General features: G+C 55.1%; 3 protein-coding genes across 7 annotated transcripts in view; all 3 read right to left on the reverse strand.

Annotated features, from left to right (window-relative positions):
- Nucleotides 1–5,513, reverse strand: part of PDE4C (phosphodiesterase 4C) — a 47,398-nt gene extending 41,885 nt beyond the window's left edge. Inside the window, exons 1-3 of the mRNA NM_001414480.1 lie at nucleotides 5,371–5,513; nucleotides 2,215–2,312; nucleotides 463–623 (exon numbers count right to left, since the gene is read on the reverse strand). The gene's annotated coding sequence lies outside the window, so the exon portion shown is untranslated. The remainder of the gene's footprint in view (nucleotides 1–462; nucleotides 624–2,214; nucleotides 2,313–5,370) is intronic.
- Nucleotides 101–5,570, reverse strand: CIST1 (colon, intestine and stomach enriched 1). 2 transcript variants are annotated; one of them, NR_036575.1, is made up of 4 exons: nucleotides 5,371–5,570; nucleotides 2,215–2,312; nucleotides 463–623; nucleotides 101–328 (listed from the first exon to the last, which is right to left on the reverse strand). NR_036575.1 is itself a non-coding variant. In NM_001396036.2 (4 exons), the coding sequence occupies exons 1-4, from the start codon at nucleotides 5,456–5,458 to the stop codon at nucleotides 281–283; spliced, it is 705 nt and encodes a 234-aa protein (NP_001382965.1). In that variant the 5' UTR covers nucleotides 5,459–5,513; the 3' UTR covers nucleotides 185–280. The 2 variants fall into 2 exon arrangements, 1 of the variants encoding a protein (NP_001382965.1); NM_001396036.2 differs by having other exon boundaries at nucleotides 185–328; nucleotides 2,215–2,622; nucleotides 5,371–5,513.
- A 1,678-nt stretch (nucleotides 5,571–7,248) lies between these two features.
- Nucleotides 7,249–24,603, reverse strand: IQCN (IQ motif containing N). 4 transcript variants are annotated; one of them, NM_025249.4, is made up of 4 exons: nucleotides 24,554–24,603; nucleotides 19,617–19,738; nucleotides 15,075–17,677; nucleotides 7,249–8,257 (listed from the first exon to the last, which is right to left on the reverse strand). In NM_025249.4, exons 2-4 carry the CDS (start codon nucleotides 19,627–19,629, stop codon nucleotides 7,331–7,333), a joined length of 3,543 nt encoding a protein of 1,180 aa, NP_079525.1. In that variant the 5' UTR covers nucleotides 19,630–19,738; nucleotides 24,554–24,603; the 3' UTR covers nucleotides 7,249–7,330. The 4 variants fall into 4 exon arrangements, with proteins under 4 accessions (NP_079525.1, NP_001138776.1, NP_001138777.1 ...); NM_001145304.2 differs by having other exon boundaries at nucleotides 14,514–17,677; NM_001145305.2 differs by having other exon boundaries at nucleotides 15,075–17,716.
- Nucleotides 24,604–24,742: the final 139 nt, after the last annotated feature.

A 24,742-nucleotide genomic window follows, 5' to 3' on the forward strand; every position in this document is an offset into this window, starting at 1 on the left:
GGTGTGAACCACCGCACCCAGCCAAGTGAGCTCCTGATTCTTATCTGTCCCTGCCTTGAGTCTGTGGATCCCCTGAAAGTAAAGACATGGTCCCCACTGTGACCCCAGCACAGAGCCCAGCACATAGTAGGTGCTCAGTTAATGTTTTCACACGAGTCCATAACTCGTGTTTTCACACGAGGCCTTGGATGAATGGTAGGGGCTTTATTTCCTCAGGTTCTGCTCCTCCCCAGGAACCCCAGCCCCATCCATGCCCCCATCTCTGTTGGCTCCTCAGGGCTCACTCCTGGAGGTGGTGGGCAAAGGACAATCTGTCATTCACGGATCCCTGAGGAAGGAACACACAGGGAGGCATTCAGACACCAAAAGGCTCTGCAGCCCAGGTTGGCCCTGCTTGGGATAGCAGCTCCCCCAACCATGCCTTGGCCCCAGGGCTGAGCCCCCAGCCCAGCCCTACCTTACCATGGACACCTCGTCCAGGTTCTCAAACTTGGACTCATTCCGGTGACAGAATCTCACAGCCATGACCACAGACCCGATGAGCAAAAGAGACACCAGCAAACACACGACCACCACCACACTCGGGTTCCTGTGTAACTCACGGGGCCCAGTGTCACCTGGAGCTGGGGAAAGGAACTCAGAGTCAGCACTGGGTCCTATTCCCCACAAGCCTAAGACACCCACCAGGGCCCAGAGCCTTTTAAAATCTGTTCTCAGGAAGCTGACCTCTCTTCCCTCTCCAGTTGAGGCTGCCACTTTTTAATCATGTATTTTAGAGACAGGGTCTCACTCTGTCACCCAGGCTGGAGTGCAGTAGTGCAATCACAGCTCACTGCAGCCTCTATCTCCTGGGCTCAAGTGATCCTCCCACCTCAGCCTCCCAAGTAGCTAGGATTACAGGCATGCACCACCATGCCTGGACAATTTTTTTTTTTTTTTTTTGAGACAGGGTCTTGCTCTGTCACACAGGCTGGAGTGCAGTGACGTTATCTCAGCTTACTGTGACCTCCATCTCCAAGGATCTAGTGATCCTCTTACCTCAGCCTCCCCAGTAGCTGAGACTACAAGTGTGTGCCACCACACCCAGCTAATTTGTGTACATATTTAGTAGAGATGGGGTTTCACCATGTTGCCCAGGCTGGTCTTGAACTCATTGGCTCAGGTGATCCACCCGCCTCGGCCTCCCAAAGTGCTGGGATTACAGGCGTGGGCCACTGAGCCCAGCCTAATTTTTAAATTTTATTTAATCAATTACTTTATTTATTTTTGAGATAGAGTCTTTTTTTTCCCCCCCGAGATGGAGTCTTGCTCTGTCTCCCAGGCTGGAGTGCAGTGGTTCAATGTGGGCTCACTCCAACCTCCGCCTCCTGGGTTCAAATTATTTTCCTGCCTCAGCCTCCCAAGTAGCCCGGATTACAGGCGCCCGCCACCATGCCTGGCTATTTTTTGTATTTTTAGTAGAGACGGGGTTTCACCATGTTGGCCAGGCTGGTCTTGAACTCCTGACCTCAGGTGATCCTCCCACCTTGGCCTCCCAAAGTGCTGGGATTACAGATGTGAACCACCACGCCCAGCCATTTTTATTTTATTTATTTATTTATTTGAGACAGAGTCTTACTCTGCCACCCAGGCTGGAGTGCAGTGGCACGATCTCAGCTCACTGCAACCTCTGCCGCCTGGGTTCAAGCGATTCTCCTGCCTCAGCCTCCCGAGTTGCTGAGATTACAGGCGTCTGCCACCACGCCTGGCTAATTTTTGTAGTTTTAATAGAGACGGGGTTTCACCATTTTGGCCAGGCTGGTCTTGAACTCTTGACCTCGTGATACACGCCCCCCCCGCCCCCGCCCCCGCCCTCGGCCTCCCAAAGTGCTGGGATTACAGGCTTGAGCCACCGCGCCCCGCCATTTTTAGATTTTTTTGTAGAGACAAAGTCCTGCTATTTTGCCCAGGCCCAAATACATAATGTATAACCTGTCTCCCCACCACAGCAAGTATTAGTTTCTCTCTTTGCCCATCGCTGCGTGCCCAGCCGTGACATACACTAGGCACTTAATAAATGCGCATAGCATGAAGAGCTTTAGACAATGGAGCAGAGACAAGAAGCCCTTCCTAGAGCATTCTCGGGGCTGTACCTCCCCCTGGTGGTCAGTTCCAAAACTGCAGCCTGTTACACCCGCCACCTCCCTACAAACACCCAAATCTCTTAATACTCACCTGGGCCAGGGGGCTCCAAGGTCTGGTCAGTGGAGGTCAAGGGCTCCGTTCCGGGGCTGTGGGAAGTGGGGCTCCAGTGCGGGGTCAGGGATTCGGAACTGGGGAGGGTGGAATGGGAAGAGGGGGTGAGCTCTGCACTGGGGGAGCCAGAACTAGGGTGCGTGATTGTCTCTGGTTGTGGGGAGGAGGGTATCATCCTTGAATCTGTGGAGCTGGGGCTCGGCTGGATGGTAGGGGTTGCCCCTGAACTTGAGGGGCTGAGGTGGGTTATGGAGTCTGTCTCCAAACTCATGGTGCTGGAGTAGGATTTGGGGGGTTCCCCTGAACTGTGGGTGCTGTGGGCGAAGGGAGAAGAAATCAGAGAGCTGACAGGTGATGTCTCCATACTGTTCTCTGAGGTCACAATATCTGGAAAGAAAAACTGGGCGCGGTGGCTCACGCCTGTAATTCCAGCACTTTGAGAGGTCAAGGTGAGAGCATCACTTGAACCCAGGAATTAGAGACCAGCCTGGGCAACATAGCGAGACCCTCTCTCTCTCTCTTTCTCTCTCTCTTTTTTTTTTTCTTTTTTTGAGATGGCGTCTCGCTCTGTCACCCAGGCTGGAGAGCAGTGGTGCCATCTCAGCTCACTGCAACCTCCACCTCCTGGGTACAAGCAATTCTCCTGCCTCAGCCTCCCAAGTAGCTGGGATTACAGGCGTGCATTACCACGCCTGGCTAATTTTTGCATTTTTAGTTTCACTGTGCTGGCCAGATTTGTCTCGAACTTCTGACCTCAGATGATCCACCTGCCTTGGCCTCCCAAAGTGCTGGGATTACAGGCATAAGCCATCATGCCCAGCCTTTTCATTTTTATTTTTAATTAATTTATTTTTTTGTCCAGGTCATAGGGAGACCTGAAAGATTTAGGACACCATGTGAGCTCTCAGTGGGAAACTGAAGCTCCCACTCAAATTCATGCTCCTGGTCTGAAGTCCCACAGCCTGGGTTCAAGTGCAGATCAGCGTTCCCAGTCCTCTTGGCTGAGAGCTCTAGAAGCCCTTTGGATATGGGAAGTGACTGCATCCCAGGCAGTGCTGGGCAGCTCCTTTAAATTTTCTGGGACTCAGTTTTCTTTTCTGTAAAATGGAGTTCATGTGGAGTTGGTGCCTCTGACAGTTCATCAGTCAGGTTCATAGTGGGTGTACACAAGCTGGGTGCTCCCAGCTACTGGGGAGGCTGAGGCGGGAGGATTGCCTGACCCCAGGAATTCAAGGCTGTAGTGCGCCATGATTGCGCCACTGCACTCCTGCCTGGGAGACATAATGAGACCTTGTCTCTACAAAAAAATAAAACAAAAATTAGCCAGGCATGGTGGTGCATGCCTAGTCCCAGCTACTCAGGAGGCTGAGGTGGGAGGATCGCTTGAGTCCAGGAGTTCAAGGCTGCAGTAAGCCATGATCATGCCACTGAACTCCAGCCTAGGCAACAGAGTGAGACTCCGTCTCAAAAAAAAAAAAAACACACACACACAATAGAATAGAAACACAGTGGGTGCACAGTGACACTCAACTATAAAGATCCACCTATGAGCTCAGAGAGGATCAGCCCTAATTTTCTCCAGGTAGCCCTAGGCTAACCTCAACTTTAATGGAAGACACAAAGACACAGGCGCTGGGAACATGTCTCCGGAACCCACCCTTCTACGTGTTGGTCCAGCTACTTCCTGGCTCACATCCCATCCCAGGCATGGAGTCCAGGGACCAGGCTGAGGGCAGGTAAGCAGTTCATGAGCCACCTCCCACAACGACTTCCCACCCAGTTCCAGGTGACTGGGCCTCTTAGGCACTTACAAGTTCATTCATCAACTCTCTGCTCCACCCATGCACTCTGCTCTGGGCCAAACTTTGTGCTTCCTCCTTGACTCACCCTAGGCAGCAGAAATGCGGAAATAACACACAACACTGGCCCTGAGAGGGGGCTGGGTCCACATGCCACCCTCCCCAGATCTCTATGTAGCCCCCCAGGCCCTGTGGGGATGACGGCTGAGTCTAGAAGAGGCATGGAACTCAGGCTGGGCTTCATCCCCATTTGACAGATGAGAAACTGAGGCTCAGAGTAGCAGAGGGTCTGGCCTGAGGTGACTGGGGAGCTGGGAAGAACGCCCCTCAAGGACCCTTGTCCTCTGTTTCTGCTGAAATGAAGATGATTCAGAGGCCAGAGTGGACCCCAAGCCAAGTCAGAATTCTGGGGAGCTGAGTGCTTAGTGAACTGAGGAAAAGCTGTGGACTTGAAAAAGGAAGAGTTGGAGGACACAAGCCCTGTTGAGTGCCTGGCACTGAGTAGGCACTGGTGAGCTGCTGAAGGGTTGACCAGAAGGTAAAAATAAAGATGTTTCTAGGCACTGTGCTGGGTGTTTGCTCTCCCCAGAGACTCCTAGACTGGGAGGCTCACATGAGCCAAGTCAACCAGTTCTAATCTGGGTCTGGGACAAGCTGGACTGAGCCTCAGTTTCCTGAGCTATGAAATGGGGATAAAAGTGGTGCCTTCTGAATGAAACCCTTCCCTGCAATGAGCATTTCAGCAGCCATGGTGGCCTCTGCTCTGCTATTACAGGTCTGTGGGGTAGGACACCGGTCAGAGAGAGTGACAACATAGTGGCAGGTAAAGGGCAGAAAAAGGGAATGCGAGAAGCTCAAGGCTCCTCCCCTCCACCCTAGGCACTGTCTTATAGGAGAGCAAGAGGGAATTAAGTCAGACACCCAGAAGAACTTCTCATGGGAACCACAGATGTTTGATGACCAGGAAGTGAGTCCCTGTTCCCTGGAACCCCCATGGCCCTGAGGTCTTCACCATTCTCCCTTTGGGGATTGGCTAAAAGCAACAGATTTGAAAAGGAGCCCAAAAGTAGGTGTGAGGCCATCTGTGGCCTCCAGCAGGTTCAGGGCTCACTGGAGTTGCAGGACCCACAGCCCCAGGGCTTGGGAGCAGCGGTGCCTCATCTGTCCTCACAGCTGCTCCGTTTGTTTCTGGGGGAAAACCCAGCCTTCCTCGGAGGGTTGGCGGACCAGCGTGGCCTGAGGGAGGGGTCCAGAAGCCAGGTGTGTGACTGGGCTGTGCGTCCCCCACCCCCACCCTTCCGCTTTCTGGAAGCTGAGCCTCTTTACCAGCTCTTACCTGTAAAGGGAGTATTGTAATTCACACCAGCTTTCAGCAGCACCACCAGCACCAAAAGCAGAAGTGGCGGCAGCTGGGGGCACGCCATTCCTGCGCCGGGAGGGCCTGCCACCGGCTCTGCACAGGTGTGTGGCCAGGTGTGTGCCCAGGTGCCAGCTCCTTGCACCTGCGTGTGCGCTCCCTGCTGGCGGAGCGCGGGGCTGTGCAGGGGCAAGGCGCAGGTGGGGCTGCAGGGTGTGGGACCTCCCTGGGGCGCTCCTGTTCCCCCGGGTGCGGTTCTCGCCCTCTTCACCTGGACTCCACCCCTTCTAAACACGACGACCCAGAAGCTCTCAAAGCCAGTCATCCACTAAAGACACCCTGCCCCTGCCGTCCTCTTTCCCCCTGCTCCTGGTTCCACAGCTGCCCAAACCCCTGCTGTCACTCCCTCTGCCCCTCGTCCAGCCAGGTTGTCCCCTCTGGGAGCACCAATTTCTCCCACCTCCCTCCGATCCCTGAACCCACAGGGCTGGGGATGTCCTTGTTCTCTGTCCTCGTCCTCCTCTGTCCTCTGTCTCACCCAGACTGGGGCCTTTTGGGGACATGACTGAAACCTTCTAACCTTCTAGCATTTCTATTATGGATTTCTTTTTCTTTCTTTTATTCTTTTTTTTTTTTGAGACGGAGTCTTGCTCTGTCACCCAGACTGGAGCGCAGTGATGCAATCTTGGCTCACTGCAACCTCTGCCTCCCGGGTTCAAGTAATTCTCCTGCCTCAGCCTCCCGAGTAGCTGGCGCCCGCTACCAGGCCTGGCTAATTTTTGTATTTTTTAGCAGAGACAGGGTTTCACCATGTTGGCCAGGCTGGTCTCGAACTCCTGACCTCAAGTGATCCACCCGCCTCGGCCTCCCAAACTGCTAGGATTACAGGCATGAGCCACCGTGCCCAGCCCTTTTTTTTTTTTTTTTTAAGAGACGGGGTCTCACTCTGTCGCCCAGGCTGAAGCACAGTGGCACAATCACAGCTCACTGCATTCTCAAACTCTGGGATTCAAGCAACCTCCCGCCTCAGCCTCCCAAGTAGCTGCGATTACAGGCGTGTACCACCATGCCCGGCTAATTTTTTTTTTTTTTTTTTGAGACTGAGTTTAGCTCTTGTTGCCCAGGCTGGAATGCAATGGCACAATCTTGGCTCACCACAACCTCCGCCTCCCGGGTCCAAGCGATTCTCCTGCCTCAGCTTCCTGAGTAGCTGGGATTACAGGCATGTGCCACCATGGCCGGCTAATTTTGTATTTTTAGTAGAGACGGGGTTTCTCCATGTTGGTCAGGCTGATCTCGAACTTCTGACCTCAGGTGATCTGCCCACCTCGGCCTCCCAAAGTGCTGGGATTACAGGCGTGAGCCACCGTGCCTGGCCTTTTTTTGTTGTTGTATTTTTTTTTAGTATAGATGGGGTTTTACCATGTTGGCCAGGCTGATAGCTCTAACTCCTGACCTCAGGTGACCCACTCGTCTTGGTTTCCCAAAGTGCTGGGATTACAGGCATGAGCCACCACACCCAGCCATCCTGTAGGATTTTTTAGGGGTGAGGGACTTGAGGTGAGTGCTCTGGGCCAGGTCCCAGGCACATTTCTAGAGTGCACTGGGGACAGTTTCCATCTGGGACGGGCTGGACACCACCCCACTACCTGTACGTGGATATGGCAGAGGCACAGCTGAGACCACATTGGCAGTGCCTGACCTCCAGGAAAGATTTGAGGTCCCCATGCTGGCCACAGACCCCAGATGCATACTGCATGGTTGGTAACTTCAGAGTTCTCTTCCCTCTGGGATGTTCCAGATTCCCCCACTATACCCAAGCCACTTCCATTAACCCAGAACACATCACCCAAGATCTAGGCTGTGGAGGACTTTATTCATTAGACCCAGAGAGCCATGAGTGCCTCCCACGAAGTCCCCACTGCAGGGAGCCAGGGTCCTAGATGCCAGGCCAATGCATGTGCCGTGAGCTGGCCGAGGGGTCTGCTGGTCCCAAGAGCGCCTCTGTGTTCTTCAGACAGCTCCGGGTATGGTGGCCTCGCCAGGTGGCTTGAACTATCTTCGCTGCCATTTGCTGCTGCCTCATCTGCTGGCGGATCTTAAAGCCCCTCCAGGCGGACTGGATGGCTGTGGCCGCTTTGTCCTGGCGATGCGGCTGCCTGGGACTCAGGGCAGCCAGCTGGTAGGCGGAGGCCCAAGACACTGCCCCGGGGCCCTCAGTGCCCTGGCCCATGCCCTGCACCACACGGGTGGGCTGTGTGCGTCCACAGGTATGACAGGTGCGAGGGCTGGAGCCCACTAGCATCACCACGCTGGGCGGGCTCCCGATCCTGGAGCTCAGGGAGTGGCAGACGCTGCAAGCGTGTGCCTGGCAGGACTGGAAGCAGCGATGGTCAGATACTGTCCTGGCTCTGCCATCCTGGAACCAGCTTCGGTCAGACATGACCCCGGCCCGGCTGCCCAGCTCCACCCACGTGACGGGGTGGAGCATCTGCCAGTGCCGGGCTTGGTCCCGGCGGGTGCTGTAGCCGCGCCAGGCAGACTGGATGGTCGTGGTGGCTCTGCAGAGGTGTGCCAGGTTCCGCCGCACACGGTAGCCGCGCCAAGTAGCTTGGATGACCATGGCCCCCCGGTGCCACAGCCGGATCCTGCGACGCGCCAGGTAGCCACGGACGCCCGCCTGGATAGTGATCACTGCGAGGATGCGGATCTCCTCTGCAGCCTGCATGGACACCATTGGCTCCCCGGACCGCCTGGGAGGCACCACCGCCTTGTTGCGCCAGGTGTCCCAGGACGCAGCACCCCTGGCTGGCTCCCATGCGCGGTTCCACGATTGGCCACCAACCACACCAGCGTCCGCGGGGCCCTGGAGTATAGTGGAGTTCAGGGATGCCTTGTGACTAACGGCAGGATTCTGGGGGCTATAGGAGTCCTGCCGTCTCCACGGTGACTCCTGGTTAAAAAGGGGTGGCAGGGAACCACTTGGGGAAGACTCATAGCCTAGAGACACCCTCCGAACTCCCGGGGCCAGCGGAGGAATGACCGAGGAGTGTGTCATCTCCCCAGTGCGGATGACGGGCCTTACCTCTGCAGAGGGCCTGTGGGTGGGGTTTGCACCACTTCGGGCTGAGGCCTGGGATGGTTGTCTTTGCACATACTGTAAGGGCCTAACCCTGGCCACAGAACTTTCTAGCAGTTCTGGAACAATCCTACCATGCACGGATCTGTAGGAATTTTTAGGGCCCATGGCGTCCCAGCGGCTGCTCGGAGCCATGTTTCCAGACACTGTTTTCTGGAGTGGATTGGGGACAGCTTCTGTCTGGAAGGGACTGGACAATGCCCTTCTAGCCGAGGACGGATATAGTGGCACATGTGAGACCATGCTGGTGGTCCCTGACCTCTGAAGAAGACTAGGATTCCCCATCCTGCCCACAGACACTGAAAGCAATCTGAAAGCCTCAGTACTGCCACGGGCCAGCTGGGGTGATCCTGAGACTACATTAGAAGCCACTGTACCCTGAGAGTGATTTGGGGGTATGACGTGAGTGACAGACCCCTGTTGATAAACTGAGGGGGACTTAGTGGCTAAACCCGGGGCCTGGAAAGGGACAGGGACCATGCCACTAGCATGGCTGGGAGCCACCTCCCTTGGGGAAGAGACCCTTTCTCAGACAGGGACCTATGATCATGGCCCCCATCAGCTCCCAGAGGACTGGAGTACATCCACTGGGTTGCACCAGTGACCCTGGCTTTGCTGAATAGGTCATTGGATCCACTTGATCCTGACACTTGGAACACAGCCTCATCCAATTCTCCTAGCTTGGCTTGGTCCCCTGTGACCCCAGATGGCATTATCCTAGCATCTTGGCTCAATTGTAAGGCTCTTGATAGAACCGTGGGCACTCGGTGTAGACTCCTCACTGTGCCACTAGCTGCCGGGGCTGAGGAGTGACCTGGAGCCAGACTGGTGGTGTGGGGCATCTGCAAGGGGGCTAAAGACCTCTCCCCAGCCAGGCTTTGAGGTAAGGAGGGGCAGTGATGTCAATCACCATGGGCCCCTTGGAGCAGCTCTGAGCCACACTAGAGGCCCCCATCATTGGCACAGAACCAGGGGGACAACTGGGCTCACCCGACTCACTACTGAACCTGGGAGCAAGTTTGGAGCAGCTAAGCTAGCGGAGGGTCTTACAGATAGACTTGGCTTCTTTCTGTCTGCCATCAGACTGGGAGCCACCCAACTGGACACAGAGCCTGCGGGAAGGCTGTGACCCATGCCTCGGATGGTGGAGCCCGGGGGAAGGCTGGAGGTTATGCCACCAGGCAGAGTGCCTGGGACTGCGCCCGTGCTCATTCTACTGGCTACAAAACCTCCTGCCGCACCACGACCAGCCCTGCTCTTCAGAGAGTCCTGCGGAATCACATCTCTCTGCTGGTAACTGGGTGGGACCATGGATGCCTCAGAAGGGTGCCAGCAGTCTATGTTTTTTGGAATAACCACACTGATCTGGGAGCTGCTGGGGTCCATGCTGTTCAGGGAAAGATTAGACTGAGTCACGGCCAGTCTGTTGGGCACTGAAGCCAGAGAGGGGCTGGGGGCCATCCCTGTGGTTCCAGAGGGATGTGTCAAAGGGCCACCTGCCTCTAAGACCTGGGATGCAAGGGAAGCCATGCCATTGGCCACCTGACATTGACTTTGGCCCATGCCAGTTGCTATGGTTCTCCAGGGGAGATTCCCAGCTAGGCCAGGAGATGTGGTCCCCTGAGACCCACTGGGGAACATAGCATCAGCCAAAGGCTCCTGGGGATGGCTTACAGCCACACCCCTGAACAGAGGCGTGATTCACTGGCCTACACAACAGGCCTCCTCATCAGCATGAGAGAGATTTGGTGTTGAAACACTAACCACAGAGGGTGGACACACATGCCTCCCACCAACCCTGGGTGGATGATGGAACCCAAGGGACACGTCGTTGAACTTGAAGTCCGGGGGGCTGGATACCATCTCACTAACCATCAGAGGTTCTTCACATAGGTTCACCCCAGTACCCAGGGATGGCTGGTTCAGACCCTGGTCCATATTTCCAGCCACAGAGGGATATGGTCCACCCAGGCTAACTGAAACAAACGCTGATGGGTGACACAGACACGGGGCTACTGAGTCCACCCTTGAACACTGCAGATTTGAATCCAGCCTAGAGCCCCAGCATGGCTCATTGAGGCCATGACATGTACCACTGACCACAGATGGCTGGGATCGGCTTGGGGCCAACCTAGTGTCCGGGGGTGACTGAGCCAGGCTTAGGGCTTCCGTGTGGGCCACAGATGGTGGGAATAGGCTGGGGGCTATAGCTGGCTCGGCTAGGCTGGAGGCTAGGGTACAGGATGAATTTGTCTTGCCTGGACTGGAGGCCACAGATGGTTGGGCTTGCCTTGGGGATACTGCAGTGGTCTGAGATGGGTGGGCTAGGCTGGAGCCCGCCCCACTGGCCACATATGGGTGAGCTAGACTTGGAGACAACCCATGGGGTCCTGATGGGTGGGCTAGGCTTGGGGACACACCAATGGCTTGAGATGGCTGGGCTGGGCTTAAGGACACCACACAGGTCATAGGTTGGTGGGCTAGCCTTGAAGACATCCCTGTGGCTTGAGACGGCTGGGCTAGGCTTGGGGATACACCACAGGCCATAGGTTGATGAGCTGGTCTTAAGGGCACTGCAGTGGTGGCCTGAGATAGCTGGGCAAGGCTTGGGGACACCTCACTGGGCATAGATCGATGAACCTGGCTTGGGGACACCATACAGGTCATAGATGCATGAGCTCTGCTAGGGGACATCCTGCTGGTTATAGATGCGTGAGCTTGGTTTGGGGACACCCTGGAGGCCACTGGTGGGTAATCTTGTCTAGGGGACATCCCACTGGCTTGAGATGGCTGGGCTAGGCTTGAGGAAACCCTACTGGCCACAGATTGGTGGGCTACACTTGGGGACACCCCAGTGGCCTGAGATGGCCAGGTCAAGCTTGGGGATTCCCCAGTGGACTGAGGAGGCTGGGCCAGGCTTGGAGACTCCCGAATGGCCATAGATGGGTGAGCTAGGGTTGGGGACACTCCAATGGTGTGAAATGGCATGGCTAGGCTTGGGGACACTCCAATGGTCTGAGATGGCATGGCTAGGCTTGGGGACACTCCAATAGTCTGAGATGACATGGCTAGGCTTGGGGACACTCTGATGGTCAGAGATGGCTGGGTCAGGCTTGGAGACTCCCCAGTGGGCTGAGATGGGTAGGCTGGGCTTGGGGACATCTCAGTGGGCTGAGATGGGTAGGCTGGGCTTGGGGACTCCCCAGTGACCACAGATGGGTCGCCTGGGCTTGGGGACACCTCAGTGGCCATAAATGGGTAGGCTGGGCTTGGGAACACCTCAGTGCGCTGATATGACTGGGCCAGGCTTGGAGACTCCCCAGTGACCACAGATGGGTAGGCTGAGCTTGGGGACACCTCAGTGGGCTGAGATGGCTGGGCAAGGCTAGGGGACTCCCCAGTGGCCACACATGGATAGTCTGGGCTTGGGGACACCTCAGTGGGCTGAAATGGGTAGCCTGGGCTTGGGGACACCTCAGTGGCCATAGATAGGTAGCCTGAGCTTGGGGACATCTCAGTAGGCTGAGATGAGTAGTCTGGGCTTGGGGACACTTCAGTGGCCACAGATAGGTAGCCTGAGCTTGGGGACACCTCAGTGAGCTGAGATGGGTAGCCTGGGCTTGGGGACACCTCAGTGGCCACAGATAGGTAGCCTGAGCTTGGGGATATCTCAGTGGGCTGATATGGGTAGGTTGGGCTTGGGGACACCTCAGTGGCCACAGATGGGTATTCTGGGCTTGGGGACATCTCAATGGCCATAGATAGGTAGCCTGGGTTTGGGGACACCTCAGTGGGCTGATATGAGTAGGCTGCACTTGGGGACACCTCAGTGAGCTGATATGGGTGGGCTGGGCTTGGAGATACCTCAGTGGGCTGAAATGGCTGTGCCAGGGTTGGGTACTCCCTAATGGCCTGAGATGGGTAGGTTGGACTTGGGGACACCTCAGTGGGCTGAAATGGCTGAGCCAGCATTGGGTACTCCCCAACAGACTGAGATGGGTAGTCTGGACTTGGAGACACCCCAAAGGCTTGAGATGGCTGGGCCAGATTTGAGGTTACCCCAGGGGCTTGAGATGGCTGGGCTAGGCTTGAGGGCTCCCCACTGTCCATAGATGGCTGGGCTAGGTTTTGGGACCCCCAGTTAGCCATTGATTGGTGACCTTGGTCTGAGGCCACTCTAAAGGTCCTTGATGGGTGTCCTCGGCTTGGGGACCTCCTAGTCACCACAGATGGCTGTGCTGGTCTTGGTGTCACTCTATTAGGCACAGAGGAGTGTGGTAGCCTTGGGGTCACCCAATTACCCATAGATGGGCAGGTTAGCCTTGGGGATACCTTACTGGATGCTATATGCTGGGATAGGCTTGGGGCCAGCCTACTGAACCCTGATGCCTGGCCTAGGTTTGGGGCTACCCTACTGGCCAGTGTAGCCTGGGACACAATTGGGGCCAAGCTCTTGGCCACAGATGGTGGCTTATATGCAGTGGAGACCACAGTACCTAAAGACAGAGTCCTCCTCAGCTCTGTCTTGACGGTTGCCTGGGACACCTCAATCAGATTCACAGAGCTCTTGCCTAAGGAGAACTTGTGGATCTCAGCCTCTGAGCCCCAGTGAACACGCAAGGTCAAGCAGTTAGACACTGAGCTGTGTTGGAAACTGGGCACTTTCTCCGAGGCTGGAGTGGGCCGGTAGGGGAAGTGTAGGGTCATGTACCTATAGCCGGTTTCAGTCTCTTGCGTATCCTTAAACCTCTGGAGTGTCCCCATGGACTCCGGAGGAAAAACAGACTTCACCGCAAGGTCCCCTTCTAAACTGCTTTCCCGTGACTCATCTATCTTGTTGACGGCAGGCAGGCTGGCCACAGACATAGTGGAAAGGCTGAGGGAACTAGAACTTTGCAGAGAGCTTTCGGAATTGTTCTCCTGACTGTAGGTCACAAAGCCCTGGGAGAAGCTCCTGGCCAGGTCACCGTCTCGATCCTGTGGCAAACCACCTACTGGCTCACCGAGGATGGATGGCTGGTGGTCTGTTGCTAGCTTCTGGGGGCAGAGCAGGGCAGACACAGAACCCTGTGTTCGATTCCTCCCCTGTCCACAGACAGATGTCTTGGGACGAACTTGAGCCAATGCACTGCCGGGGGAAGCTTGAAACAGACCATGAGTCTTGGATGCCTGAGTTTTGGTCACCATGGTGACCTGCAAGGGACTTGGGGCCCCCTTGTCTATCACCTCCCTAGTACCCGGGGGGGCCTGTTTGCGATTTGGGGGCTGATACCTCCTCCCCAGGCTCTCCCTGGAAGCCCTGGATGCCTGCTGCTGGCCTCTGGCCACTAAGGGTTGGTAGAGACCACGATGTACCCCTGAGGACTGACACCAAGGCAGGCCCCCACAGGTGAGGTAAGGCTGGTGAACATGGGCAGCCCTCCCACCACCCACGCTGCAAGGAAGCCTACCCGAGGCCACCCTGCCCTCCCTGGTCGATAGATAAGAGGCCACCCTGCTGACCACATGTGGCCTGTGGCAGCTCGGGGCTGTGCCATAGATCACAGAGGGCTGGTTCATGCTTGGGCCCACACAGTTGGCAATGAGAGGCTGCCACAGACTCGGGGGTGGCTGCATGTGGGACAGCTTGAGCAAACTGGGGCCCTCCCCACTCCCCTCGGGGTTAAAATCTGATGCCAATGTGCCAGGCTCCAGGGTCGGGCATGCTTCTTCCTTTTGGAACTTGGGGCTCAAATCCAGGTTTGAGGAGAAGTCCCTGCTGGACTCCATCATCTCCCGGGACAGCATGGGATACAGGCCAGTGATCAGGGGACCCTGGTGAATGCTGGTGATGACGCTACCCATCACCGAGGCTCCCACAGTGACCACAGATAAGCAGGGTGACCCCCACAAGATGGCCCCATCAATCCCCCATCTCCTCCAAGGGCCCGGCAGGTTGGCCCATGGTGAAACAACCCCAGATCCCAACCTGGGAATCCCTGACCTTGCTGGTCTGTGGTCTCACGGGGCCCAGGGAGGGCCCCCATGCGGCCGATGGACTCCTCCTGCAGGCCACCTTCACCAGGGCCGGCGTCTTAGTCACCCCGCTTCCTGTTGATTTCGAGGCGGCCTTGGGGAGGATGGTTCCAGTCCTCAGGGCCACCCGACACCAAGACTGGCTCAGGAGAGCACCCAGCTCACCCTGACACAGGGCCTGGCTCAGAGCCACCCACTCCTCCTCCGTCAAAGCCTTGCTAAGCACCTCGGCCAATTTACCCTGCATGACCTTGGTGAGTTCCGCCCGCAGCTCGCCCCGGGACAGGGCTCGGGACAGGGTCAGGCGCAGCTCACTCCAGGACAGCGCCTTCACCAGCGCCATGCTCAGCATGCTCTGGGGCAGGGCTTTGGTGACAGTGGCACCCAGGACCTCCTTGGACAGGGCCTGGTTCAGAGCTGCCCAGACTTCTCCCTGGGAGAGGGCTTTGGCCAACAGAGTGCGGAGATCCTCCTGGGATGCCAGCACACCAGCTACTTCAGCACACAAGGAGGCCAGCAGGGAGCCTACCGTGTCCTCCTGGCAGGGCACCGCCTGGCCGGGCATTGATGGCTGGGCACGTGTGGCTCCGTTGTCTCCCCAGGACTCAACGTTGCATGTGGAATGGCCGGTGGGTGCCATCGGCGGCACCAGCATACCCTGGACCTCACAGGCTGCCGGGCATGGTCCCCCCTGAGTGGTCTTCCCCGGCACGTGTCCGTGGGGCTGTGGCTGGGTCTGTCTGTCCTCTGGCTTGGCCCAGGGTGGGGCGCTGAGGCCACCGAGGCGCTGGCAGGCGTGGTTGGACACCTTGGACCCTGTTAGGAGCACCTGGGAGTGGGTGTTGCTGCTGAGATCAGCAGCCTGGTGCGCTGGGATGAGGCACGTGGTTATGTCTGTGATCGGCTGCCCCCGGGACTGCGTCTTGGTCAGACAGGTGGCTAGAGGCGCTTGGGACTGGACCTTCACGGCACCTGTGGCCAGATGTGTCTGGGAATGCATCTTGCTCAGACAGGTGTCCAGATGGGCCAGGGATGGGGTCTTGGTCAGCTCAGTGGGCAGATGTCCCTGAGATGAGGCCTTGGTCAGCGGGGCGGCCAGTGGTCTCTGGGACAGGCAGGGTGGATGTCTCTGGGATGAGGCATTGGTCAGTGGGGCAGCCAGCTGTCCCCGGGGCAGGGTGACAGCCATGTCTACAGGCACATACACGTGAGGTGGCTTGTCCCCTTCCTCAGCAACTTTTGTCCAGGATGGAGCCCCAGCCATTTCCACTGCCACACTGGTCTTAAATGCCATGTCTGTTTTCGCCTGTTTCTGGGTGCCAGTCTTGATTTTCTCGGCTTCCAAAGGAAGCTCAGCTGCAGCCCTGGGGACCCCAGTTCCCGGATGTGGTTGAGCCAGGCACCTGATCTTCCCCTCAGCCAAATAGGAGGGGGATGAGGCTTTCACCACCTTTGCAGCCTGCTTCACATTCACGGTGGCCTTGGCCTTGGGTGGGTTCTCATGGATGGAGCCTGAGGTGTTGGGAGTTCCGGCTGCTACCGCCACTTGGGGTGGAGCCTTGACATTTGCCACTGTTGGAGAGGCCAGACACAGAGTCTTGAGGATGGTGGCCACCGAGCGTAACTGGGCTGGGGTCTTGGTTATCATGGCTGGCAGGCGGGTCTGGGGTGAGGGCTTGGTCACCCCAACTGGGCTCCTCTGGGATGAAGTCTTGGACATTGTGGCTGACAGACATGTTTGCAATGGGTTTTTGGCTGGGGTGGTGACCGGGTGCATCTGGGGTGGGGTCTTTGCCATCGCAGGCCCCGGGCATACCTGGGGCAGGCTCTTCATGATGGAAGCCAGAAGGGAAACCTGAGGTCGGTTCTTTGCCGTGATGGTCGCAGGGCATGTCTGCCGTGGGGTGCCAGTTCTGGAGGCTGTGGGGTGTACCTGGATCTTGGTCATTGTGGGCATGGGGCATGTGTGAGGTGCAGTTTTGGTCACTGTGGGCCCCGGATACATCTGGGCTGGGGTCTTGATTATTGTTACTTTGGGAACTGGGCTAGTCTTGGGTGGGGTGGTGGTCATCGTGGACGCTGGATATGTCTGTGGCAGGGTCACGGAGACCACTGGATATGTCTGGAGTAGAGTCTTGGTGATCATGGGCCCTGGACATATCTGGAAGGGGGCTTTGGGGGTCTCTGCTTTCACAGGGCCCTGGGTTTGGGCTCTGGATGGTCTCGTAACTGCCTGGTCATACCTTCTGGACAATGGTGTCTCCGGAGCCCTGGCTTTGTTGGTCCGGGCACTTACACGTTTGGTCTTCACTGAGTCACCCTCTATGTGGACGAGGCAGGTGCTTCTGATGGTTCTGGTCAGCAGGCATGGCTGGCATTTTGCGTCCAGACTCACTGGGCAGGGAAATCTGATGGTGACCGTCTGGTGTGGCAGGAAGGCCAGCCCCCGGACTCTGGCAGCATGAGGACCCTGCACACAGGGCTCTGGGGTACCCTGAGCTGCTGGGGGCTGCAGGAGGGGGGACGACTGGGGTCTGCAGAGGACCAGATTGTCACAGGAAGGGAACTGGGTCTCCTTGTTCACCATGATGGGCGGGGACAGAAGGCGGTTCTCTTCCGGATGCTGGAAGCGCACCTGCTGTGGGGCGTGATAAGGTATGTCCCCCTCCTCCGCCCTCGTTTTCTTTACCAACGACTTGCTGGAGTGAAGGATGTGTCTCTTGTTGAAGCGCCGCCAGGCCTCCTGGATGGCCTTGGCCGCCATCATCTGGGAAATCAGCTTCTGCCGGAGCCAATAGCCCCTCCAGTTGGCTTGGATGAGCGTGGCTGCACGGGCGTGCATCATGTCCATCTCGTCTACCAGGATGTTCTTGAAGGCCTGGCTCTCGACCACAGCCCGGAGGCGTGGGACGCGGCGGGACGCCGTCTTGCCTTCGGCAGGCTGTTGCGGAAGATGCTCCTTGGACTTGAGGCCCTCGTGCTGGGGCTGTGGAGGCGCTTTCTCCATTTTGTCCAGGAGACTGGGGTGAGCGGGGGCTGGAGGATGCACCGCCCACTGGGTGACAACTGGCTCGTGAACTGTAGCTAGGCGGCCGGCTGCATTGCCTTGATTACCGGACAGGTCAGCTCTGCCTGTGGGGGCGGCAGGGGGTGGTCAGGGTGTAGCAGGTCCTGCAAACAAGAGGTCTCCTGGCTGGGGTGGACACTGGCCCCCCAGGCCCAGATCTTGTTCCTGGCACGTTGCGATCTTCCGCCTCCCTTTTTCCATCCCTCCCTCTCCCAAGTGGTCTTTGCCATCCTTATATCCACCTCTCATCACCCTACGGCCACTTCATCTTGGCACACAGTGTATGACACCTGAATGCCCGACCACTTACCTGCTTTTCTTTTTTCTTTTCTTTTTTTTTTTTTTTTTGAGACAGAGTTTTGCTCTTGTTGCCCAGGCTGGAGTGCAATGCTGTGATCTTGGCTCACCACAACCTCCGCCTCCTGGGTTCAAGCGATTCTCCTGCCTCAGCCTCCCGAGTAGCTGGGATTACAGGTGCACGCCACCATGCCTGGCTGGCTACTTTTCTGTATTTTTAGTAAAGACGGGGTTTCACCATGTTGGCCAGGCTGGTCTCGAACTCCCGACCTCGGGTGATCCACCTGACTCAGCCTCCCAAAGTGCTGGGATTACAGGTGTGAGCCACCGCGCCCGGCCTGCTTTTCAAACTTTATCTTGGATGTACCCTGGGTTTAGCACTGATCACAATGTTTTGGAAATTTCCTGTTTGCCTCTGTGTGTGTGTGTGTGTGTGTGTGTGTGTGTGTGTGTGTGTGTTTGAAAAAGAGAGAGAGAGAAGTGTGGTGGGGGAGATTATTTGCCTCTCCCCATTGATTGTGAATCCTAGAAGACAGAGTCATTTCTGTGTCCCCATCTCAGTCATAGAGCTTGGTTCCAAGCTGTGAATGGGTAGGTATTGGGTGGGGGGGGCATCTTGACTGATAAATGGTGAGTGGATTGGAAGTTGGATGGACAGATAGATACAGGACTAGATACTGAATGGATGAATCAGTCGATGAGTGAATGGTAGATGGGTTGGAAAGACAGATGAAGGTTTGGATGAATAGGTAAATAAAGCTGATGAATAAAGTGTTAAAGGCAAATTGGCCCGGCACGGTGGCTCATGTCTGTCATTCCAGCACTTTGGGAGGCCAAGGTGGGCAGATTGCTTGGGGTCAGGAGTTCGAGGCCAGCCGGGCCAACATGGTGAAACCCGTCTCTACTAAAAATACAGAAAAGTAGGCCAGGCACAGTGGCTCATGCCTGTAATCCCAGCACTTTGGGAGGCCGAGGTGAGCGGATCACAAGGTCAGGAGTTTGAGACCAGCCTGGCTAACGTGGTGAAACCCCATCTCTACTGAAAATACAAAAATTAGCTCGGCATGGTGGCTCGTGCCTGTAATCCCAGCTACTCAGGAGGCTGAGGCAGGAGAATTGTTTGAACCCGGTAGGCAGAGGTTGCAGTAAGCCGAGATCGCGCCACCTCACTCCAGCCTGGGTGACAGAGCAAGACTCTGTCTCAAAAAAAAAAAAAAAAAAAAGAGCCAGGTATGGTGGCATGAGCCTGTAGTCCCAGCTAGTCGGGAGGCTGAGGCAGGAGCATTGCTTGAACCCGGGAGGAGGAGGTTGCAGTGAGCCAAGATCACGCCATCACACTCCAGCCTGGGCAACAGAAGTGAAACTCCGTGTCAAATAAAAGGAAAGAAGGAAGGAAGCAAGGGAGGGAGGGAAATTAAAGAGAGCTGGAAAGACTGGTGAAGAGATAACCCAACAGGAGGTAGACTGATGGGTGGATGGGTGGGTGGGTGGATTAGGGGATGGGTAGGTAAATGGCATATGGAAGGATGGAAAGAAGGAAGAAAAAGTGGTGACTGTGGCTTTCAGAAGTAACTAGGATGCAGAGAGAGCTGGGACACTGTCAAGCCACCCTGATGCATAGCCTGGAGCACAGCACACTTGTTTGGCAGAAGCCCCTCTCTTCAGGTTGGACTAGCCAGACCCCTTGCCCATAGACCATCTTCTTACCTTGAAGGGTCATAGATTTGGAGGAGTAGCAGGAGAAGAAGGTGCAATCTCAGAAGCCAGCCTGCAAGAGGAGGCAGCCTTCAGCCTTTCATCCATGCAATATGCAGCAACACTGCCCTGGGCTGGCTCAAGACCAACACAAAAAGAAATGTTAAAAGCAAAAATGCTAAATTCTAAAATTTCTAAATTCTAAAAAAGCTAAATTCTAAAAAAAAAAAAAAATGTGCAAAGATGAGGAAATTTATTCCAGTGTTATTTTGTAGCTAGAAATCAAACAAAACAACTGGAAATAACCAAAACAGTGATTGGTAGAGGTTCTGCTACAAATGAATACAGAAGTATGTTCAAGGATGTTTAACACTGTATTGTTTAGCAGAGGAAAAACTGGAAGAAACCAAAATTATCAATGGAGACAGGCTTAAATTAATCATACAAGGGCATGATATCCAGGCATCAGAAATGGCGTCCAGGCTGAGCACAGTGGTTCTTGCCTGCAATCCCAGCACTTTGGGAGGCCAAGATGGGAGGATCACTTGAGGACAGAAGTTTGAGACCAGCCTGGGAAACTAAGCAAGAACTGTCTCTTAAAAAAAAAAAAAAAAAAAAAAAAAAATTGGCCAGGCGTGGCTCACGCCTGTAATTCCAGCACTCTGGGAGGCCGAGGAGGGTGGATCACCTGAGGTCAGGAGTTCGAGACCAGCCTGGCCAACATGGTAAAACCCCGTCTCTACTAAAAATACAAGAAATTAGCCAGGCATAGTGGTTGACGCCTGTAATTCCAGCTACTCAGGAGGCTGAGGCAGGAGAATATCTTGAACCTGGGAGGCAGAGATTTCAGTGAGCTGAGATCGTGCCATTGTACTCCATCTGGGGCAACAAGAGCAAAACTGTCTCAAAAAAAAAAAAAAAATAGGCCGGGCACAGTGGCTCACGTCTGTAACCCCAGCAATTTGGAAGGCCAAGGTGGGTGGGTCACTTGAGGCCAGGAGTTCCAGACCAGCCTGGGCAACATGGTAAAACCCGTCTCTACTAAAAACATAAAAATTAGCCAGTCATGGTGACATGCACCTGTAGTCCCAGCTACTCGGGAGGCTGAGACAGGAGGATCATTTGAGGCCAGGAGGTTGAGACTGCAGTAAGCTACGATGGCACCACTGCACTCGAGCCTGAGCGACAGAATGAGACCCTATCTCTTTTTTGTTTTTAAAACAGAGTCCCACCCTTTTGCCCAGGCTGGAGTGCAGCGTCACAATCTCGGCTCACTGCAACCTCTGCTTCCCAGGTTCAAGTGATTCTTGTGCCTCAGTCTCCCAAGTAGCTGGGATGACAAGTGTAAGCCACGGTGCCTGGCTGAGACCCTGTCTCAAAAAAAAAAAAAAAAAGATTGTGATTAAAGAGTAAGTATAAGATAAAAGGTAACCTGGGAGGCCAGGCATGGTGGCTCACACCTGTCATCCCAGCACTTCGGGAGGCCAAGGCAGGTGGATCACAAGGTCAGGAGTTCGAGAACAGCCTGGCCAACATGGTGAAACCCCGTCTCTACTAAAAATACAAAACTTAGCCAGGCACAGTGGCATGCACCTGTAATCCCAGCTACTTCAGAGGCTGAAGCAGGAGAATCACTTGAACCCGAGAGATGGAGATTGCAGTGAGCCGAGATCACGCAACTGCACTCCAGCCTGGGCGACAGAGTGAGACTCTGTCTCAAAAAAAAAAAAAAAAAACCAGGCGCAGTGGCTCACGCCTGTAATCCCAGTGCTTTGGGAGGCCGAGGTGGGTGGCTCACGTGAGGTCAGGAGTTCAAGACCAGCCTGGCCAACATGGTGAAACTCTGTCTCTACTAAAAATACAAAAATTAGCCAGGTATGATGGCAGGTGCCTGTAATCCCAGCTACTTAGGAGGCTGAGGCGGGAGAATCTCTTGAACCCAGTAGGCAAAGGTTGCAGTGAGCTGAGATCATACCATTGCACACCAGCCTGGGTGACTGAGCGAAACTCAGTTCAAAAAAAAAAAAAAAAGATAAAAGGAAACTCTATGTGGTACTTTAGGGCTGAGGGAGTATCCCCAAAAAAGGGGCAAATTTGGAGAGCATTCAGACTTCCTTGGAGAAAGTATGGTCCCGCCTAACAAGTTAACGGAGATAATTGCTGGATCGGCCAAGCCAGAGCTGGTCTGGAGTTGCAAAACAAGCAAAAGGCCCACCCTCCAGGGTGCAGATGTGGGAACAGGTTATCAACAGTTGGTGCTCTGGATGTGCACTGGAAACCTAAGTGTTGCTGGGGCAGGAGGCCTTCAATGTGTATGGGCCACCGTGGGGGCTCTGTTCGTTTATTATCATTTATTTATTTATGATTTTTGAGACAGAGTCTCACTCTGTCCCCCAGGCTGGAGTGCAGCGGCACTCAGCATCTTGGCTCACTGCAACCTCCGCCTCCTGGGTTCAAGCGATTCTCCTGCCTCAGCCTCCCGAGTAGCTGGGATTACAGGCATGAATCCCACCACACCCAGCTAATTTTGTTTGTTTTGTTTTGTTTTGTTTTTGGAGGGACGGGGTTTCACCATGTTGGCCAGGCTGGTCTCAAACTCCTGATCTCAGGTGATTCGCCTGCCTCGGCCTCCCAAAGTGCTGGGATTACAGGCGTGAGCCACCGCGCCTGGCCTTTTTTTTTTTCTCTCTCTCTTTTGAGTTTTGTTCTTGTCGCCCAGGCTGGAGTGCAGTGGCGCGATCTCCTTTCACTGCAACCTCTACCTCTCGGTTTCCAGCGATTCTCCTACCTCAGCCTCCTGAGCAGCTGGGATTACAGGCACCTGCCACCACGCCTAGCAAATTTTTGTATTTTTAGTACAGATGGGGTTTCATCATATTGGTCAGGCTGGTCTCAAATTCCTGACCACAGGTGATCCACCCACCTTGGCCTCCCAAAGTGCTGGGATTACAGGCATGAGCCACCGCGCCCGGCCTTAGGGGCTCTGTTTTTTGTGTGTGTTGAGAGGGCTGCAGAAAGGTTTTCACCAGGTCAAGACTGCAAAGTCACAGGACCACGTTCTGGATCCAGGGCTCGGGCAGGCTTCACCTGGTGTCTTCACACCTCTATCCCTAATGCCTCACCAGCGCCCTCTATTGAGAAATCTTAGCATTGTGCTCACTTTTTTTTTTTTTTTGAGACGGAGTCTCGTTCTGTCTCCCAGGCTGGAGTGCACTGGCACCATCTCGGCTCACTGCAAGCTCTGCCTCCCGGGTTCACGCCATTCTCCTGCCTCAGCCTCCTGAGTAGCTGGGACTACAGGCGCCTGCCACCACGCCCAGTTAATATTTTGTATTTTTAGTAGAGACGGGGTTTCACTATGCTAGCCAGGATGGTCTCCATCTCCTGACCTCGTGATTCGCCCACCTCGGCCTCCCAAAGTGCTGGGATTACAGGCGTGAGCCACCGCGCCTGGCCGAGCATTGTGCTCACTTTAAACAAGACATAACGAAAGAAATTCCTTTGTTTATCACATATTGAAAGGGTCCATTCGGAGACAAGAGGCAATGCATGGATAATTGACACACATATATTTATTATTTTTATTTTTTTGAGATGGACGGAATCTTGCTCTGTTGCCCAGGCTGAAGTGCAGTGGCACGATCTTGGCTCACTGCAACCTCCGCCTCCCAGGTTCAAAGTGATTCTCCTGTCTCAGCCTCCCGAGTAGCTGGGATTACAGGCACTTGCCACCACACTTGGCTAACTTTTGTATTTTTAGTAGAGTTGGGGTTTCGCCATGTTGGCCAGACTGGTCTCGAACCCCTGACCTCAAGTGATCCGCCCGCCTCGGCCTCCCAAAGTGCTGGGATTACAGGCATGAGTCACCATGCCCGGCCTAATTATTATTATTATTCTCTTTGAGACGGAATTTCACTTTTGTTGCCCAGGCTGGAGTGCAATGGCGCCATCTTGGCTCACTGCAACCTCTGCCTCCAGGTTCAAGCGATTCTCCTGCCTCAGCCTCCCAAATAGCTAGGATTACAGGCATGCGCCACCACACCTAATTTCGTATTTTTAGTGGAAATGGGGTTTCTCCATGTTGGTCAGGCTGGTCTTGAACTCCTGATCACAGGTGATCTGCCCGCCTTGGCTTCCCAAAGTGCTGGCGTTACAGGCGTGAGCCACCTTGCCCGGCCTAATTTTTGAATTTTTAGTAGAGATGGGGTTTGACCATATGGGTCAGGCTGGTCTCGAACTCCTGAGGCAGGAAAATCACTTGAACCCGGGAGACAGCAGCTCTGGGAGCTGAATGGGCCCATTCCAGGGGCTGAGGTTTCATCAACCAAACGGTGCAGCTCTTTAGAGGAACTCAACCAGAAGGGGTGAGAAACGGGATTGTGGGGGATGAGAAGAAGGAACAGGGGCCCCCTGGACACAGAAGCCAAGCGACTGGCTCGGTAATTTTGAGTAAACCCCTCTGAGCCTCAATTTCCCTATCTGTCACAAGACATAAGATCACCATCCTCAGGTTGCCAAAGAGACACAACAGGCTCAGCTGGGCGCAGTGGCTCCTGCCCGTAATCCAAGCACTTTGGGGGACCAAGGTGGGAGGATCGCTGCAGCCCAAGAGTTTGAAAACAGCCTGGGCAACATGTCTCTATTTATTTAAAAAAATAATAATAAAGAGACATAACAGGCTCTCCATGATGTCCCCCATCACAGGTGAACAAATCCACCATCAAGGCTTTAGAGGTCCCTAGAGCCCCTGCTGTGAGGGGCCAAGGAGCTGACCCATCATTTGCAGTCACCCAGAAGGCCCAGAAGGGCTCTAAAGGCACTGGGGGCCAGAGGAGAACGACAGGGTCCCCCACGAACCCTCGCAAACAAGTCCTCCACCAGCCCCACTCACCCGCCCCTGAAGCCACCAGCCCCACTCACCCGCCCCCAAAGCCACCAGCCCCACTCACCTGCCCCTGAAGCTAAACCTAGCAGTCTGAACGGCCAGTCTTGGAGCCCTGGTGCCGCAGCAGCTTTGTGACTCAAAGCCAAGTTCTGGCCAATCCCTGGCAGCTCTTAGGGGGTGGGGATTCTAGAAGGCACAGCCAGAGGTTGGGGAACAGGATGCAGGGCAGGGCCAAAGGTCATGGTGGTTGCTA

Source organism: Homo sapiens, chromosome 19 (genome assembly GCF_000001405.40).
Source record: "Homo sapiens chromosome 19, GRCh38.p14 Primary Assembly".
Taxonomy (NCBI): domain Eukaryota; kingdom Metazoa; phylum Chordata; class Mammalia; order Primates; family Hominidae; genus Homo; species Homo sapiens.